Genomic DNA, 17,368 nt, shown 5'->3' on the forward strand with positions numbered 1-17,368 from the left:
TAAAAACCAAAGGGTATATCATTTTTCTGATTTAGGCTTGTCATTTCCAATTAATATAATTTGGAACTGGCTATGATGTTTTTTTTTTTTTTTTTTTTTTTTTTTTTTTTTTTTTTTTTTTTTTTTTTTTGAGACGGAGTCTCGCTCTGTCGCCCAGGCTGGAGTGCAGTGGCGCGATCTCGGCTCACTGCAAGCTCCGCCTCCTGGGTTCACGTATGATGTTTGACTATACATTAAAAAGGGAAAAAAACAAAAACTAGTCCTAATATATATTTTTAAATTACCTAACAAAAAGTTTTTCACTTTTTTGATGAAAAGATTGATGTTTTCTTCTTCAGAGTCACTTTGGTTTCTTATATTTCCCAGTTTTTCCCTCAGCTGTAAGGCATTGTTTTTGGAGACTTCTGCCTGTTCACTTATACTTTCGATCTGGAATGAGAAAAACACAATGAAGAATACTCGACAATATACTCAACAAAGTCATGTTCTTTGATGTTTAATTACTTAGCTGGACCAAATAAAACTGTCACTAAAAACTAAATAAAAGTCTAGATAAACCATAGATTCATTTGCAAGGAATCTTTTACAAGGTGATTATTATCTCTTCTCATTATCATGTTTTCTTTAATTTATCATTAATTTATCTTTTAGAACATTACTGACTTAGCACTAACGAATTTTTCTAATATAAGTCTAAAACACAAATTTTGTTTTAATGGGGCTTTAGCATTCTTTAATACCAACAACTTTCCCATAAATTACATAGGACTACTTACCTGCCATGGTCATCACGTTTAATAGGTTGAGAGCATTTTCTTTTATGTAAGTTAAAATGTTACTCTTCTAAACATTCCTCAAATTCAAGTAATGTACTTTCTTTGAAAACTAACAAAAAAGCATTCTTCCTCTTAATAAATGAGCTTGAACTGAGAGTGGGCTACAAAGATAAATTCCAGACACTTTGTACTCTTGGTAGAGGAATGACAGGAATAATAGGCTAGCAAACTAGAAGTGCAAATTCTTAATTGTGTGATCTGAGAAAGGTCATGGACTTTTTCTTGGGATTCCAACAAATTAGAGAGAGAGAAAAAACCCAGAAGCAATAGGACAATATTGCCAACAAGCTGAGCTTTATTGAATAAATTAATTGTGACAGAAGTAGGGCTAGTTAGGATCAAACATAATTAGGAAAAAATAAAATCCGCTGGGCATGGTGGCTCACGCCTGTAATCCCCAGCACTTTGGGAGGCCAAGGCAGACAGATCACTTGAGGTTAGGAGTTCAAGGCCAGCCTGGCCAACATGGTGAAACCCCATCTCTACTAAAAATGCCAAAATTAGCCAGGCATGGTGGCGCATGCCTGTAATTCCAGCTACTGGGGAGGCTGAGGCAGGAGAATCGCTTGAATCCAGGAGGCGGAGGTTGCAGTGAGCTGAGATCGCACCATTACACTCCAGCCTGGGCCAGACAGAGTGAGATTCTTGTCTCAAAAAAAAAAAAAAAAAAAGAAAAGAAAAGAAAAAAAAGAAAAAAAATTCCCTTTATTTCCCCACAAAAGGAGCCTGCTTAATTTGAGCCATACAGATTTTTAAGAAAAGGATTTAAATTATAGTCACTGGCAAATGATGAAATAAAAAAGTATTTACATGATTAAAAATGTGTATCTTTTTTTTCAGAGTTGTTACTTAATTCTCTAGAACTTTCTTAGCTTTAAAATGGATAGCAGTAAGAATGGATTGCAGTAAAATGAGAATTCCAGAAATAAAATACCCTAGGCAGCAAAGCACCAAGTGATACAGAGGAAATCTCAGGCTAGATTAGTTGATACCATATTCAGAAAGAAAGAGATCAAGAAATTACTTCACTCTTAAAACATCCCTCTGCAATCCATCTTCTGTCACAACTGACTCCTGAGAATTCTCTCACAATCTCTTCTGGCACTCTTCCTCCTTCTAATCAAGAGGAAAATAGCACACCATTTCATCAACATGACATCCCCTCTCATCGTTTTCCAGTTCTCCATTTATGTGCTGATTAAACTAGCTTCTGCTAATATGGATTTCAAGGATAATTTTTTAACACTGATAGCTTAACATATTATTGACTTAATGATATGATCAAGTGGCAATCAGGACTCCTTTAAATGTGGGTGAGGTTTCTATTTTTTTGAGAAGGAGCAATATAATAGTTTAAAATTACATTAAACAATGAAGGTGTGTTTTAAGCACTGGGACATAAGACCAGGATTTACATTGCTATGTTTGCTGCTGTATTCTCAACTTGTAGATGGATGCCTGGCACACAGTAGGTGGATATTTGTTAAAGCAATGAAGAACGACATGTGAATGGAAAATGATGTGGCAATACAGAATTGTGACTATGTAAGTAAAGTTTCAATATTTATGTAGGGATATGTTCCAGATTGGCTAATCAGATGCTTGCTCAAGGATATAGGGGGTGTGTGTGTGTGCATGTGTGTGTGTGTGTATCTTGGCTGTGGTTCTCACCCCATTCCCAAGCTTGGCCCTCTATCCTTTACTGGATTTTGAGGCCCAGATGTCCTTACATATATTTCCTTCTTGTTCAGGAGTGGGTCTTTTTGTTTTTGGTTTTGTTTTAAACGAGGTCTCACTGTTGTCGGTGCAGGCTGGAGTGCAATGGCATGATCTCGGTTCACTGCAACCTCTGCCTCCCGGGTCCCAGCAATTCTCCTGCCTCAGTCTCCCGAGTAGCTGGGATTACAGGCATGCACCACCACTCCTGGCTAAATTTTTTTTTTTTTTTTTTTGTATTTGTATTTTTTAGTAGAGATGGGGTTTCACCATGTTGGCCAGGCTGGTCTCGAACTCCTGACTTCAGGTGATCCACCTGCATCGGCCTCCCAAAGTGCTGGGATTACAGGTGTGAGCCACTGCACCCGGCCAGGAGTGGGCTTTTTTTGCTTGCAAACAAGAATGCTTAGTGATACAATATTCAACATATAGTGGTAAAAAATTCAGCTCTTTAAAAGCTTTTTCTTCTTTGTCAGAGGCTCTTTGCGTATTGTCAAAAAAGAAACAGATTGGGGAGCACACCACTATCCTGTTTTCAAACCACAGAATAAAATGCATTCTCAAAAAAAAAGTCTAAAGAAAACTAGGTAATTAAAAATGATGCTCATTTATAAATGACCAGAAAAGTAAATGAAATTATTTCAAATCATTATAGATTTAATTATAAGGTACTTAAATGTTAAAACAACTTTCTCAGTCTATCAACAGGGGAATGAGTTCAAGGTATGGTTTAATTCCTATTAAGCTATTTTCTAACATTAAATTCTAACATTACAATTTGTATATTTAGTAGGTTTTCAAATATACCCTTACATATTTATGAATTTATGAAAAATTATTCTTTGCTTTGAGAGATCTATAGTTTTCAACCCTTTTAAAAATTAATTTATATATTTCTTTTATTATTATTATTATTATTTTAAATAAAGTAGAGATACGGCCTCCCTGTGTTTCCCAGGCAGGTCTTGAACCCCTGGGCTCAAGGGATCCTCCTGCCTTGGCCTCCCAAAGTGCTAGGATTATAGGCGTGACCCACTACTCCTGGCCTGTTTCCAAATTTTTAATGCTTGGAGTCTTGACATTTCTATGTAGGTTTTGCTGTAAACAAACATGTCCACACGAGTCTATGACCTATGATAATGTATCTTGAATTCTTTCTCTCTCTCTTTACACACACACGTACACACTTGACTTTTGAATGACACAGGTTGGAACTGCACACGCCCACTTATATACAAATTTTTTTCAATAAAACTTACACTGAGTGTGCCTGCCTCTTCTGCCTCCCCTTCCACCTCCTCCACCCCTGCCATCTCTGAGACAGCAAGACCAACCCCTCTTCTTCCTCCTCCTCAGCCTACTCAATGTGATGACGATGAAGACCTTAATGATGATCTATTTCCTCTCAATGAATAGTAAGTATATTTTCTCTTCCTGATGATTTTTCTGATAATATTCTCTTTTTTCTAGCTTACTTTATGGTTATATTATGATATATAATACATACATAAATATATGTTAATTGACTGTTTAAGTTATGGGTAAGGCTTCCAGTCAACAGTGGGCTATTAGCAGTTAAATTTTGGGGGAGTCAAAAGTTACACATAAATTTTCAATTGTAGAGTGGAGGCTTGGTGCCCCTAACCCCTATGTTGTTCAAGGGTCAACTGTATACATATATATAACAGGAAATATATCAATATTAACCTCTGTTTCTAAATCTACATTCATATCATCTGTAATTTTATCCTATATTTCCAGGCACAAGAACACCAACTATCTAGAATCTATCTTCTCACTTGGAAGTTATATGGCAGTTTTATAAATTTTAAGCAGTCTGCTTCTTTATTGCTATAACTTTACAAATAAAGCAAGAGAAGATATTTACCTGATTTTTCAACCCACGAACCTGTTTGTCCAAATTACGAATAATGGATTTTGCTTCCTGGGCTTTTTGGAGGGCATTCGTTGAGAGGGTCAGGGAGCCGTGACAGCCGGGACCCCTACACTTCCTGTGCCCCTTCCGGCCCGTGCAGAGAGCACCGCCACAGGGCAAGGGCACACATGGCACATTTCCTGGATCTCCGCACACCTTGCAAGAGAAATGATTTACGTTAAATAGCAACTTGTTGTCAGAGCTTTTTTTTTTTTTTTTTTTTTTTTGAGACGGAGTTTGCTCTTGTTGCCCAGGCTGGAGAGCAATAGCGTGACCTTGGCTCACTGCAACGTTCTCCTCCTGGGTTCAAGAGATTCTCCTGCCTCAGCCTCCCAAGTAGCTGGGATTACAGGCACCCACTACCACGCCTGGCTAATTTTTTGTATTTTTAGTAGAGACAGGGTTTCACCATTTTGGTCAGGCTGGTCTCAAACTCCTGACCTCAGGTGATCCGCCCACCTCGGCCTCCCAAAGTGCTGAGATTACAGGCATGTGGCCTGGCTGTCAGAACTCTAATGCCATCCAGGCTCCTTGAGTCAAGGCACTGCTTTATTCATATGTTTCTTCAATAGTTGTTCATCCTTGGTACATGGGGGTAACCCATTAAACATTTCCTAGGTAACTAAACATCTAAATTACTTATCAGTATTGTGTCAGTCTGTCATCCTTTATATTTATGGTTTTCTGAGAAAACAGTCAAACTTTTAGGAATTACATGTGAGTTTCACTTTTTATTTAATTATTTATTTATTTATTGAGATGAGTCTCGCTCTCTCGCCCAGGCTGGAGTGCAGAGGCACCATCTCTGCTCACTGCAACCTCCACCTGCCAGGTTCAAGCGATTCTCCTGCCTCAACCTCCTGAGCAGCTGAGATTACAGGTGCACGCCACTACCCCCAGGTAATTTTTGTTTTTTGTAGAGACGGGGTTTCACCATGTTGGCCAGGCTGGTCTCGAACTCCTGGCCTTAAGTAATCTGCCCACCTTGGCCTCCCAAAGTGCTGGAATTACAGGCGTGAGCCACCGTGCCCAGCCTGCACTTTGTATTCTTTTGAGAGAATTAGCCTTTTTCTTGTAATGAGGCAAGAGGAGCAAATGTTCATAGCCTGTACTGTTTTAGAAATAGTAAATAATATCAAATAATCAAGCCACAATCTTTACTCTTTGATCAATTTTTGAGTTAAATAAAAATAAGGCTTTTTATAGTATATAATAAAACATATATATTTTATATACCTACATATATTTATATATTTCTAATATATAATGAAAAAGAAATTTAAAATGTAAGCTAGGGAAATATCATTGAAGAGGTTCATATACCAAGTAAAAACCACAAATGCTTTGACCTTACCATCATGAATATTTACCTTTTCATTCAATATTTGGATATCTGGTATCTTAATCTGCTTTAATCTTTCCAATGACAAGTTTCCTTTTGAGGTTAGTGTATCTAAGATGGTAAGTAAGTCATTCCTTGTATTTGCAGAGGTATTAATGGTGGAACTAGTTTCATTAATTTTCTTTTCAGCAGATGATGATATGTGATAATATTTCTTGATGTTTTCTGAGGAGTCTACGTCAATGCAAATTGAAGTAAGGTAAATTTTGTGAAAACAAATGAAATTATATATAAGTTATTAAGATAATCATTCTATAATTTGGCTACTGTCTTGGTCTCAACTATCACCATAAAATTTCAACATCTTCCTTGAATTTGCAATTGATGGGGGAAGGATTAGCTATAGTATAATAAATATGGATAGAATAGATACAGGGCATTGAGATTTAAGTCCACAGATGTGGTGTGAGTCCTGGCTTCACCCTTTACTGCCTGGGCATACCCTTGAGCAAATCAGTTCATCTCTTATATTTCATTTCTTCCTCTGTAAATTGGTGATAATAATTTGTGAGAATTGAGATAATATGAATATATTCTGTAAATAATTTCCACAAATATAAGATATTAACTATGAATACCTATATACACTCAAATATAATAAACCAACTAAATTTACTTAACCGTATAGAGCAGGAGTTGACAAACTTTTTCTGCAAAGGCCAAATAATTAACGTTTTAGGCTTTGCTGGCCATAGCATTTCTATTCCAACTACTCACCTCTGCCATTGTAGAGTGAAAGCAGCTACAGGCAGTATGTAAATAAAGAGGTGAGGTTGTGTTCCACTGAAGCAGTATTTACAAAGACAGGCTGTGGGCAGGATTCACCCTGATGCTGCGGTTTCCTGAACCCTGATGTTGAGGCTGCTAACAATAGCTAACAGCTAGTTGGGTGCTTTGTAGGTGCCTGTACTATACTTCCCATCAATTTTCTTCCTCAATCTTCACAAAACAGTGTGAAATGCACATTAGTATGATCATATTCATTTTCAAATAAGGAAACTGAGGCTCTATTGAGGAAACTTATTTGCCTAAGTTCTCATTGATAGTAAGAGATGAAGCCAGGATGTGAATCCAGGGTGTTTGACTCCAGAGCCTGTGTTCTTAAGCACTTCTCTACATTTTCTATGTTTGCATTATTAATACAAATTTGTGAAAGTAATAAGGTATGTATGGTATATTTTAATGTAAATTATAGTATATTAGGGGTTTAAACCATAACTCCATATTTTAGGAATCAGAGGCCCACGGTCCTGATCTGATCTTTACTCCCTATAGAACCATAATCCAGGCAGGAGACAACCACACCTTATCTTTCAAACTTTTCTGGTTCTATAAGACCATACTCTTAATGTATCATGCTTTTCACTTATCATGAAAAAAGTGTTCCTATTGCTTGGAATTAGTTTCTTCTTTCATTTTTATGGCAGATTTTCTCCTACCCTGTGGAGATAATTCAATTGCCACCTATTCCCTGAAGACTTTACTAATGAACCCAGGAAGGATTCCGTTTTTGCTACTCTGTTTTTGAAGCAGCTTGAAGATGCTCTAACAGTCTTAATGCTGTTTGCAGTGGTTTATATTCTTGTCCCCTGCCCCCATTAGACAGAAATAACTCAAAGGTAGGGACTTGCTGTAATGATCTGCCTGTTTCTACTGCACAATGTCAGGCATTGGAAAAAAGCCCAGTAACTGCTGTTGGACTGCAAATTTGAGAGGATTAGCATGGGGGCAGTTTCACTTTATTTTACCTGGCGTGGGGTGACCTCTGATGGATTTTGAGTTCTTTCAGTGGGAACTGTCTTCTAGATTAGGAATCAGAGTAGATTCCTTACTCATTACATGGCATTTATTGAACATCATCAATACATCTTTGCTAGAATTTGTTTCACTAAATTTAGGCATCCCTTTAGGGAAATTAGGTATTCCTACCTGCCTTCTATTTTTTTTTTCTCTTCTAGGTCAAAATCAGATAAAACACAGGAGTATATACATAGGACAATGAAAGCAGCCAAAGTTTTTTCCTGACATGGATTCATGTATATTTTCCATCTGTCTCTCAATTGGATGGCTTAGGTGTGAATAAACTCAGTGATGCTTCTCTCAGTAGTAACAGGTTGTCCATTTCCAAATATAACAGGGGTATGATCTTGAATAGGAGATGAACTAATCAAAAGTTTTGCTTTAGAGTTCCATTTCTCTTGCAAATTATCTTGGCTTAGGCATAGCTCACATTCAGTTTTAAGAACTATGCAATATGAGTTAAGGGTGTGTAGTATGTTGCATGACTCTCATTCTTACAAAGCTCTTATGAGAAATATTGTGGGGTTTTTTTTGCCTCACATTCCATTGCATTTATGGTCACTGAAAATGGAGTGGCCTATACCGAGAAAGGCATATAAACATGTCTCTCTCATTTGCTTATGGCCATATTAGAATTTCTAAGTTGTTGATTATTCAAGACCCCTTACATGGGTTTGGCACTAGATTACTTTGGGTGTTAGCATTTGTTTAATATCAGACATTGTTTACTTGTTATTTTTGAGTGAATGCTAGCCAGGCTCTGTGATGTTTAAAAAGTTGAAATATCCATGAACAAATAATACCTTTAATGGTTGTGTTTGCATGTTCTAAAGTGCTCAGGCACTATGGTGGTAAGCAGGGGACGACTCACTAATGGAATGCACTGTGGATTTCATCAAACTTTGTGCAGACACAGTCAAAAATACATTTTTCCCTTACCCGCAATGCTTGCATTAAGGACACTGGATTGCAAATCAATTTCTTCCTGAAGGTCTTCAAGTAAGAGGTCTGCTTCATTCTTTGCTCTTTCTATTGTATCTTTCAGATCTTGAAATTCATACACTGCTTTCAGTTGTTCATTTAGCTGCATGATTTGTCTTCTATAGAGGAAATAAGGGTAAATGTAGTTAAGCTTGTATTACATTTGATATATTGGTGAAAAAAATGCCACCAAAATTGCCCTCATTGTTAGGAATTCTTGATTAGAAGGGATTCCTTCTACTCGAGTTTTTCATTTGACGGTTTATAATTGTGTTTATGTCTCATCTCTTTCATCTTAATTCACCTTCCTGGACTATTGCAACATTCATTTAAAATATGGACAGCATACCAGGTCTAGTAGAATAAAGGCTCTCAAATCATTCCATTTTGACTGTTTATGCTCTGTCTTTCTTCGTTTTGGGTTTCAAAACATGCATTCAGACATGCTTCAATTAAATCAATCTAAGGGAGCTTTTGGCTTTCAACATATGGTAAAATAGAACCGTTTACTTAGCCTGGGGTCAAATCAGGTCTTCATTTAGAATCAATCTGCATTCAGCAAGGTTCTTTTTAGTGTAACTTCTGTTCAGGGTCCCAACTCTTATTTTCCATTAGTGACAGGGAGGTTTTCTTGCTGGTGAGTGTTCCCCTGGGTTTTTTTCCATCACCTTCTTCTTTGATGGGGTACACCTTTGTTGTGCTTCAATTTGCTGGGTTTAGCACCTACTGTTACTTCGAGGGGATAATGAACACATTCCTCATGATGGAGAAACTGTGCAAATCTTGAAGTGTACAGTTGGGGGAAGTTATAAAATGAATTTATGGGACTAATTTATCTTGGCACAATGGCAATGCTTCCTTCCATTTTCTTTTGTAACTCTCCCCTCTAATCTATAGACTCTTCCTTCAGGCTCCAATTGTCACAACTGCAATTCTTCAGGCTAACAATAATAACAATAAAAATAATGATAATTACTCTAATTGGGACTCCTTAAGCACTTACATATGCCGGACACTATGCTAAGTGATGGGTCTTGAGTAATTCTCACAAGAATCCTATGAAATCCAGACTTTCTCTCTTTTGATGAAGCAATTGAAGCTTGGAGGAGTTTAGTAGCTTGCCGAAAGCCACACATTTAGTAAGTGGATTTAAACCGGGTAGTTTGACTTCTGAATTTATGCTCATGACACCTGGGGTTCTTTGTCCTCCTGTTCCCCTTCCACCTGTAGTTTACCCAGCAACATTTTTTTTAATAGAACTACATGAGGCCTGGAGAAGACAAGCACGTGAGAAGGCAGGCCCTGTCCAGGGTGCCCCACAGCGAGGCAATGGCAAAGGAGCATAAAGAGGTGAGAAGATGGAGAAGGAAATACAGGCTTCTCTGTGAGGAAGTCAGGAAAGGCTTCAGGGAGGAGGTGATGTTTGTGTGGCTGTTAAAGAGAAGTAGGAGTTTGGCAGGTGGGCTAGGAGGGAACAGGCCTCTGGGCTGCTGGTTGAAGAAGCTCAGCAGCCACTGCTTTCTCCTCACTCCAGACCTGGGCTGGGCACTCCTCTTTCTCGCTCTTTCTCTCTGGCTCTGCCTGTGGCTCTTGCAGTCTCTGTCCAGAACGTCCATGGTGGATTGGCTCATTCTGCTTTCTTTGTGCTTTGTCCGACATTTTCCTAATGGTGTCTAACCACAAGCTTGTGGTCCATGGGCCAAAGCTCATTCTCAGACAAGTTTTCTTTGGGCTATACAGTAGGGCTTCTTACAAGTGCTATTGGATTAGCTGTATACATTTTGAAGTGGGGATAGTTCAGTAAAAATATGGATGTCTGACATCTCTTGAAAATTGAGGAGATCTGTTAACATAGGGGTCTAGATCTTGCAACGCAGAAGTTGTATTGCTTTTTTGTTTTTAGAGACAGGGTCTCATTCTATCATCCAGACTGGAGTGCAGTGGCACAATCATAGTTCACTGCAGCCTTGAACTCCTGAGCTCACATGATCCTTTTGCTATGTAGCCCAGGCTGGTCTCGAACTCCTGGCCTCAAGTGATCCTACTGCCTCAGCCTCCCAAAGTGCTGGGATTACAGGGGAAAGCCACTGTGCCCAGCCCAGAAGTCTTTAGAGAAGTATAGATGTGCCTGTTGTCACCTGCCAGCTTGACCCTGGCTGGCCATTTGTCCTCCCTGGGCCCTGTCACTGCATTTATGATGCAGTGGCCCTTTCCCTGAACTACCTAGGTGGGTGATACCTTCTTCCTTGTGCACCTTTTAAGCAATTATCATATATTTCTGGGATATTTCCCTATAGATAATGAGTTACCTTATATTTACACTCATGTTATATATGACATGAGCCTCTGCAGCTTCAACTATTCCTTAATCCAGGACCTTTTCTTGGGGAGGAAGGATATTTTGCTAGATAAGCACACTTTTGGAGTTCCTTAGCAGACTGTGTGCTTCTATGGGGGTAGAAACTATACCCAATTCATCCTGGTTTTGCCCTTAACAGGTTGGCAAACTTTGCCTTAGGAATCATAGCATCTCTGTCATAACTACTCAACTATGCCATTGTAGAGAGTGCAGCCACAGAGGAGGGGTAAATAAATGGGTGTGGCTGTGCTCCAAGGAAACTTTATTTACATAAACAAAGGCTGTGTCAGATTCCACCTGTGGGCTGTAGTTTGCTGAGCCGTGGCCCAAAACTATCAACATAATCTCAACAAATGGTTAAATTTTAAAAAAAGATTCAGTAATATGTAGTAAAAATGAGCTTGCATTTTCAAGAAATGACCATACTTGGTATAAGACTTCATATTAATGTATAGGCTTCTAAACAACTGAAGAACTTGGGAAGGTTTGGTAAATTTTCCCTAGGTGTATCATTGAAAAAAATATGTTGTTTTTGAAACTACCATACTTCCAATTTTATATCTTTCAGCTTTACTGAGTTTGGGCTTCCCCATTAATGACTGTCTTTTTGTTACAATCAATGGCATCTGGAAAAATCACATATAATCCTAACTAGGTGAGAAAAAAGTAGACATACATGATTTCCAGCTGTTTTTTTTTTTTTTTTGAGACAGAGTTTCACTCTTGTCGCCCAGGCTGCAGTGCAATGGCATGATCTTGGGTCACTGTAACCTTCGCCTCCTGGGTTCAAGCAATTCTCTTGCCTCAGCCTCCCAAGTAGTGGGGATTACAGGTACCTGCCACCATGCCTGGCTAATATTTGTATTTTTAGTAGAGAGGGGGTTTCTCCATGTTGGCCAGGCTGGTGTAGAACTCCTGACCTCAAGTGATCCACCCGCCTCAACCTCCCAAAGTGCTGGGATTACAAGCGTGAGCTATGGCGCCCGGCCCAGCCTGGTTATTAACTGAACAACTATCAGTCCCCTAAAGTCAACATAGGTACATTTCTAAATTGAAGGCTGACGATGTTAAAGCTTGGTGGGAGTTAAGGTAAATCAGGAGTTTGGCTGTCTGTTACTTGAGCATAAATCTTACCTAACAGAGTCATGATAATCCTTGACTTTTAAGAATTTCCCAGATGGGAAAACAGGATGTTTCAAAATCCTTTCTATTTCAGACACGTTCCCTCTGAGGTCTTTGAAGTCTGCCTCACAGACAGGCAGGGTCTCTCTTTTATCTTCCATGTTAGCAGCCAGTCTCATTAACCCTTGCACCGCTTTGGAGAGGGAAGAAATGGTGTGGTCCCACTGATCAAAGCACAAGTGACATTGAAGACAAGTAGGGAATTCCTGGCTGTGTCCCCGGGCACAGCGATCACATCTCTGGCCGCTGACACCCTCCCGGCAGCGGCACATGCCTGTGTCTGGATCACAGATGGGCTTCTGGGTACCTGCCCTGTTACAATCACATGCTAAAAAGGAAAACAGAAGGAGCAGAGAATGTCACTGGGCCTTTTGTTGATGACTAACTCAAGAATCAGGTCTTTTCCTCTCTCCTGAAAATCTTCCCAACTCACACTTCTAAGATGAATATTTAAAGCCAATATAATTTCAGAGATCTGTGCAATAGCCATTATAAGACAGCATGGCTCTCTATATTCCACTAAGAAATCAGTTTACTATTTCAATTTGGCAAATATCAGACGTTTTTATTGTGTGAGTGCAAGCATCTACAAGTGGGATCCTCATCTATTTGAGTAAGAAGTATGATTTAATGATGGACACACGATAGTAACTCTGCTGTTACAGCCTCCGAGGGTGGTTCAGGTGTGTCGAGACTCTCTAAGAAGTCCCATGGTCACACTTCTTCTGAGTAAAGCCCAGCTTGGGTGTGATGACCACGCTGTCTTCCATTACATAAGGAAAACAATTTCATTTTCCAAAAAGGAGGGGAAATTAAATTCATTTTGTCTTAATTTAAAAAAATTACTGACTCCACACGGTACTTTCTTTGAGTAGGTTTCTGACCAAGCCTGAAGATAGAGGATAGGGAGATCTATTGATCTTACTGCAATTTCCAAAAGGTTAGGGAATCACTAGCCTATGTTTTTGGACCAACTGCAAGGAACAAGTAATTTAAAAATGCATTTGAGGCTGGGTGCAGTGGCTCATGCCTGTAATCCCAGCACTTTGGGAGGCTAAGGCAGGTGGATTGTTTGAGCCCAGGAGTTCGAGACCAGCATGAGCAACATGGTGAAACCCTATCTCTACAAAAAATACAAAAATTAGCCAGGTGTGGTGGCATACACATGTATTCCCAGCTACTCTGGAGGCTGAGGTGGGAGGATCACCTGAGCCCAGGGAGGCTGAAGCTGCAGTGAGCTGTGATCATGCCACTGCACTCCAGCACAGGCAACCAGAGTGAGACCCTGTCTCAAAAAAAAAAAAAAAAAAAGCATTTGTCAGTTTATGTAAAAATAATGCCAATTACAAATAAAAACTAGTTAACACACTAGGGCTCTTCAGCTAGTTCATCTGTCCAGCACATTGGCCTTGGTCCAGAGGGGTGGTGTCATGTCACTTCATCACCTGGAGGCCATTTCCCATCCTTAGCCGCTCTTCCCCAGGAGATTTAGTGGGGTCTGTGGCCTGACTTGATTATTTGCAGTTTCTTCTACTGCTTCTCTATAAAAGATGAAAGCATTTTTATGAAATAAGATTATCAAAATAGTAGACGGACACAGGGAAATAGGCTCTAAGATAGATTTTCCAAGAGCCAAAGTTTCACCCTGGGTTTTAACCCAGCAATTCCACTTAGAAAACTGAATAAGTGGGGCCCAGAGAAAATCATTCAGAATGTGCATTTGAATGGGGCAAGGGAATGAGCAATATTTTTTAGCCACAAGGGCACATTTATAAAGGAATGGAGAGGAGGAAAGAGTTGCCATGCGTGGCTATGTATGGCTGACCATGGTGATAAGCCCATGATACCTGATATTTCTTTGGATTTTCTTCTTTTGGAAGCTGACTGTTCCATTTGTAATGAGTTTGAGGAATTTTAAGACAGGCTACGAATTTTAATATAGGCTAAATTTTTAACATAGGAGGAAAATAATCTTTTTGCAGGGCTATAGGAAGATTATTTTCAAAATGTAGAATTAAACTTTGTGAGTTTTCTAAGTCCACCTTATTAAAAGCACCAAAAAAAGAAATTTAAAATTCAGTTGGTTCATAGCATGTCCATGGTAGGGCCAGGCTGACTGTACGCATGAGTTTTTAGAAATCCCAATACTTACGAATGCATCGCCCAGGTGGATCACCATAATAATTTTCCTGGCACTCACTGCAACGTTTCCCGCCGTAACCTAATTTACACGGACACTGGCCTGTAAGCTGTGAGAACAGTCATGGGTGAGGAATTGACAAGTTTTATGGTCTAAAAAAAAATGCATTTTAATAGGAAATATTTTCCCCTCCAGTGAATTAGAACATACAGCTGTGCAAAGGCGGAGGAAGGATGATTCCCATGTCCAGCAGCCACCCCCGACAATACCAAGGATCAGGAGTTAATGTGCTTTGGCCTAAAGCTCCTGAATATATCGCCTGCTTCCAGCTGTTCAGGGACAGGTGGCCCAAACTGGGAAACATACACAGATGTAAATGAAAACAAAACACATAATGGGAAATGGGCCAGATTATTTTCCTCAACTGTTATGGGAGTTCCTCCATAAGTGAGTGAGGCCAAAGACCTGGTCTAACATTCATCAGTTAATGTGTCAAGTAATGTTTTCATTATGGAATGTATGATGTAGTTTTCACCAACTGGATTAGCGTTTTGCTCAAAAAAACATCTTTTTTTTGTACTTCAGGCTTAATGATTTAATGAGAGTTACTTAACTGTGTTTTTCAGAGAGGGCTGAACTTTTCTTTACCCTCCCAACTGAACTCTTGACCAGCTTTTCTGAAAACTGAGGAGGTTGGAAAATTAACAGGAGAAAATATAAAAGCAAATCACTATTGTTGTAGTCCTAAATTAGCTGCTTAAACAACAACTCCGTAAGTTTCCTGTGAATAAGTGGCTAGATTCTTAGAGTGACTGGATCTGCCACTTTTCTTTCCTTTTCTTTTCTTTTATTTTGAGACGGAGTCTCGCTCTGTTGCCCAGGCTGTACGGCAGTGGTGCAACCTCAGCTCACTGCAACCTCTGCCTCCCAGGTTCAAGTGATTACTCCCATCTCAACCTCCCAAGTAGCTGGGACTACAGGTGTGCACCACCACACCCGGCAATTTTTTGTATTTTTAATACAGATGAGGTTTCACCATGTTGGCCAGGCTGGTCTCGAACTCCTGACCTCAAGCGACCCACCTGCCTCAGCCTCCCAAAGTGCTGGGATTACCCACACCTGGCCTGGATCTGCCACGTTTCAATATCTTTGCAGTTCCTGCCAGCTTCTGCTCAAATATAAGGAGTTAGGTGGTGCTTGTTGCCCCGAGGCCTGTCGTACTGCTGATTGACCCAATTGTTGGGCAGTGCTTTCTTATACCGAAGTACAATCTGCCACTTTTTTTTTTTTTTTTTTTTTTTTTTGAGATGGAGTCTTGCTCAGTCGCCCAAGCTGGAGTGCAGTGGCGTGATCTCCACTCACTACGAGCTCCACCTCCCGGGTTCACACCATTCTCCTGCCTCAGCCTCCCGAGTAGCTGGGACTACAGGCACCCACCACCATGCCTGGCTAATTTTTTTGTATTTTTAGTAGAGACGGGGTTGAATCTGCCACCTTTTAACTTGTTCCCATTGTTATGTGTCCTTACGAAATTGCACAAACCAGTTTGCAATTGCCTCTTTCCCCTTACAGTCCTTCTCCCAACTAGAGATGGCCATCCCAACCTGCCTTGGCTTCTTTTCTTCAGGCCCATCACCTCTAATTCTCTCTAGCCTTCATCACGGAATAGCATAGTTCTGTCCATTATCTTGGTTGTCTCCCTTTGGGCACGTACTAGTCTGTCAGTATAATGTTTAAAATATGGTGCTCAGAAATGACAACAATGCTCCTGGCACCACCAGGCCAGTAGAACAGATAATGGGACAGTAACTGCCCTTAACCTGGGCACAGCACCCCCCTACTCCAGCCTGTTCAGGCGTCGCTTCTTTGGCAGCCCTGCCACACTGCTGGCTCACTGAAGCCTGCACGCAATGAAAATCCTCAGATTTTTCTCACAAGAGCTGTGCCAAGTTATTACTCCCACCCCGTATTTATGCAAGGGATTTAAAAAACCCAATTGCAAAACTTTACTTTTAACCTGTTAACATTTCATCTCCTTGTTTCCAGCCTGCATGACAGCCTATTGGGATATCTTGTTCTGTCTTTATCATATTAGCTTACGGCTTTGTAATATCTGCAAATTTGGGAAGCATGTTTCTCCAACTCCATCTAAAGTGTTGATGAAAATATTGGATGGCACATTTGGATCTCTCTGTGGGAATGTACCAGGAACCACCTCTTGGCTAACATAGAGACATCTATCAGTAGTTGTTTAAACAGCTGGGAATCTAAATATCCACGTCTTCCCCGTACTCCAGTGAACATGTTTCTTGATTGCAGAGACCAGTGTTCCCCCATGGGATCCCCTATGCACCAAATAACCCAAAGGACCCTTGTTATGAGGGGCTTCCTGGTTAAACCAATACCATCTAACTTTCAGCTTCAAGGCTACCTTGGAACTGTGGTTTTTGTTGAATGCTGCTACAAACATGCTTCCCAAAAGGTCTAAGAAACTTGCCACATAGTGTTGTCTTGAGCACTAGGAGTCCCTCAAGAATTGGGAAGCCAGGTGGTCACGTGGAGATCTACCACTTTATTCCATGGTTGGTGGCTGCAGGTGTGGGGAGTGGAGGGGAGCTTATAAAACAGGCATGACCATCCAGTGTCCAGATCTTGGTTTCTAATACCATTCTCTAGTAAAGGAATCAGTGCTCCCTAGATAAATAGCTGATTCTAGGACTGGGGCAGAGAATACATAAGATGAGCCTGAAATATTTTGCAGTGCCAGAAAGTAAGGAATGCTTTTAAAAACTCTACAGTATTGGCCTATGTCAAAGGGACACAGGAGCCACTGAGAGATCTTCTAGTGACCAAAGCTGGAACAATTTGAACCACAAAATAAAGTAGTGTTGGACTATCCCCAAAAGTATAAATATCCATGAGTCCATGCTGATATAAATAAATGGTCGAATGAATGAATAAACGTAAGACAACAGACAAATCTCCAGTGCAGAAGAATTCCAATGATTTGTGGAGA

At 40.0% G+C, this 17,368-nt stretch overlaps 1 protein-coding gene and 1 long non-coding RNA gene across 11 annotated transcripts in view; one reads left to right on the forward strand and one right to left on the reverse strand.

Moving 5' to 3' along the window:
- LAMB4 (laminin subunit beta 4) overlaps positions 1-17,368 on the reverse strand; it is a 118,700-nt gene that overhangs the window by 31,806 nt on the left and 69,526 nt on the right. For all 10 annotated transcript variants that reach the window (XR_927421.2, XR_927422.2, XM_011515975.2 and 7 more), the window contains exons 24-29: positions 14,365-14,461; positions 12,165-12,540; positions 8,630-8,790; positions 5,859-6,064; positions 4,441-4,644; positions 285-429 (exon numbers count right to left, since the gene is read on the reverse strand). Coding sequence is in view for 8 of the 10 variants with exons in the window: in XM_011515975.2 (XP_011514277.1) it covers positions 285-429; positions 4,441-4,644; positions 5,859-6,064; positions 8,630-8,790; positions 12,165-12,540; positions 14,365-14,461 (1,189 nt within the window). In the remaining 2 variants the exon portion in view is untranslated. The remainder of the gene's footprint in view (positions 1-284; positions 430-4,440; positions 4,645-5,858; positions 6,065-8,629; positions 8,791-12,164; positions 12,541-14,364; positions 14,462-17,368) is intronic.
- LOC107986835 (uncharacterized) lies at positions 1,783-5,311 on the forward strand. Its single transcript, XR_001745320.1, has 3 exons — positions 1,783-2,381; positions 3,909-3,967; positions 5,271-5,311. It is a non-coding gene; the product is annotated as an uncharacterized LOC107986835 (long non-coding RNA).

This window comes from Homo sapiens, chromosome 7, assembly GCF_000001405.40.
Source record: "Homo sapiens chromosome 7, GRCh38.p14 Primary Assembly".
Lineage (NCBI taxonomy): Eukaryota > Metazoa > Chordata > Mammalia > Primates > Hominidae > Homo > Homo sapiens.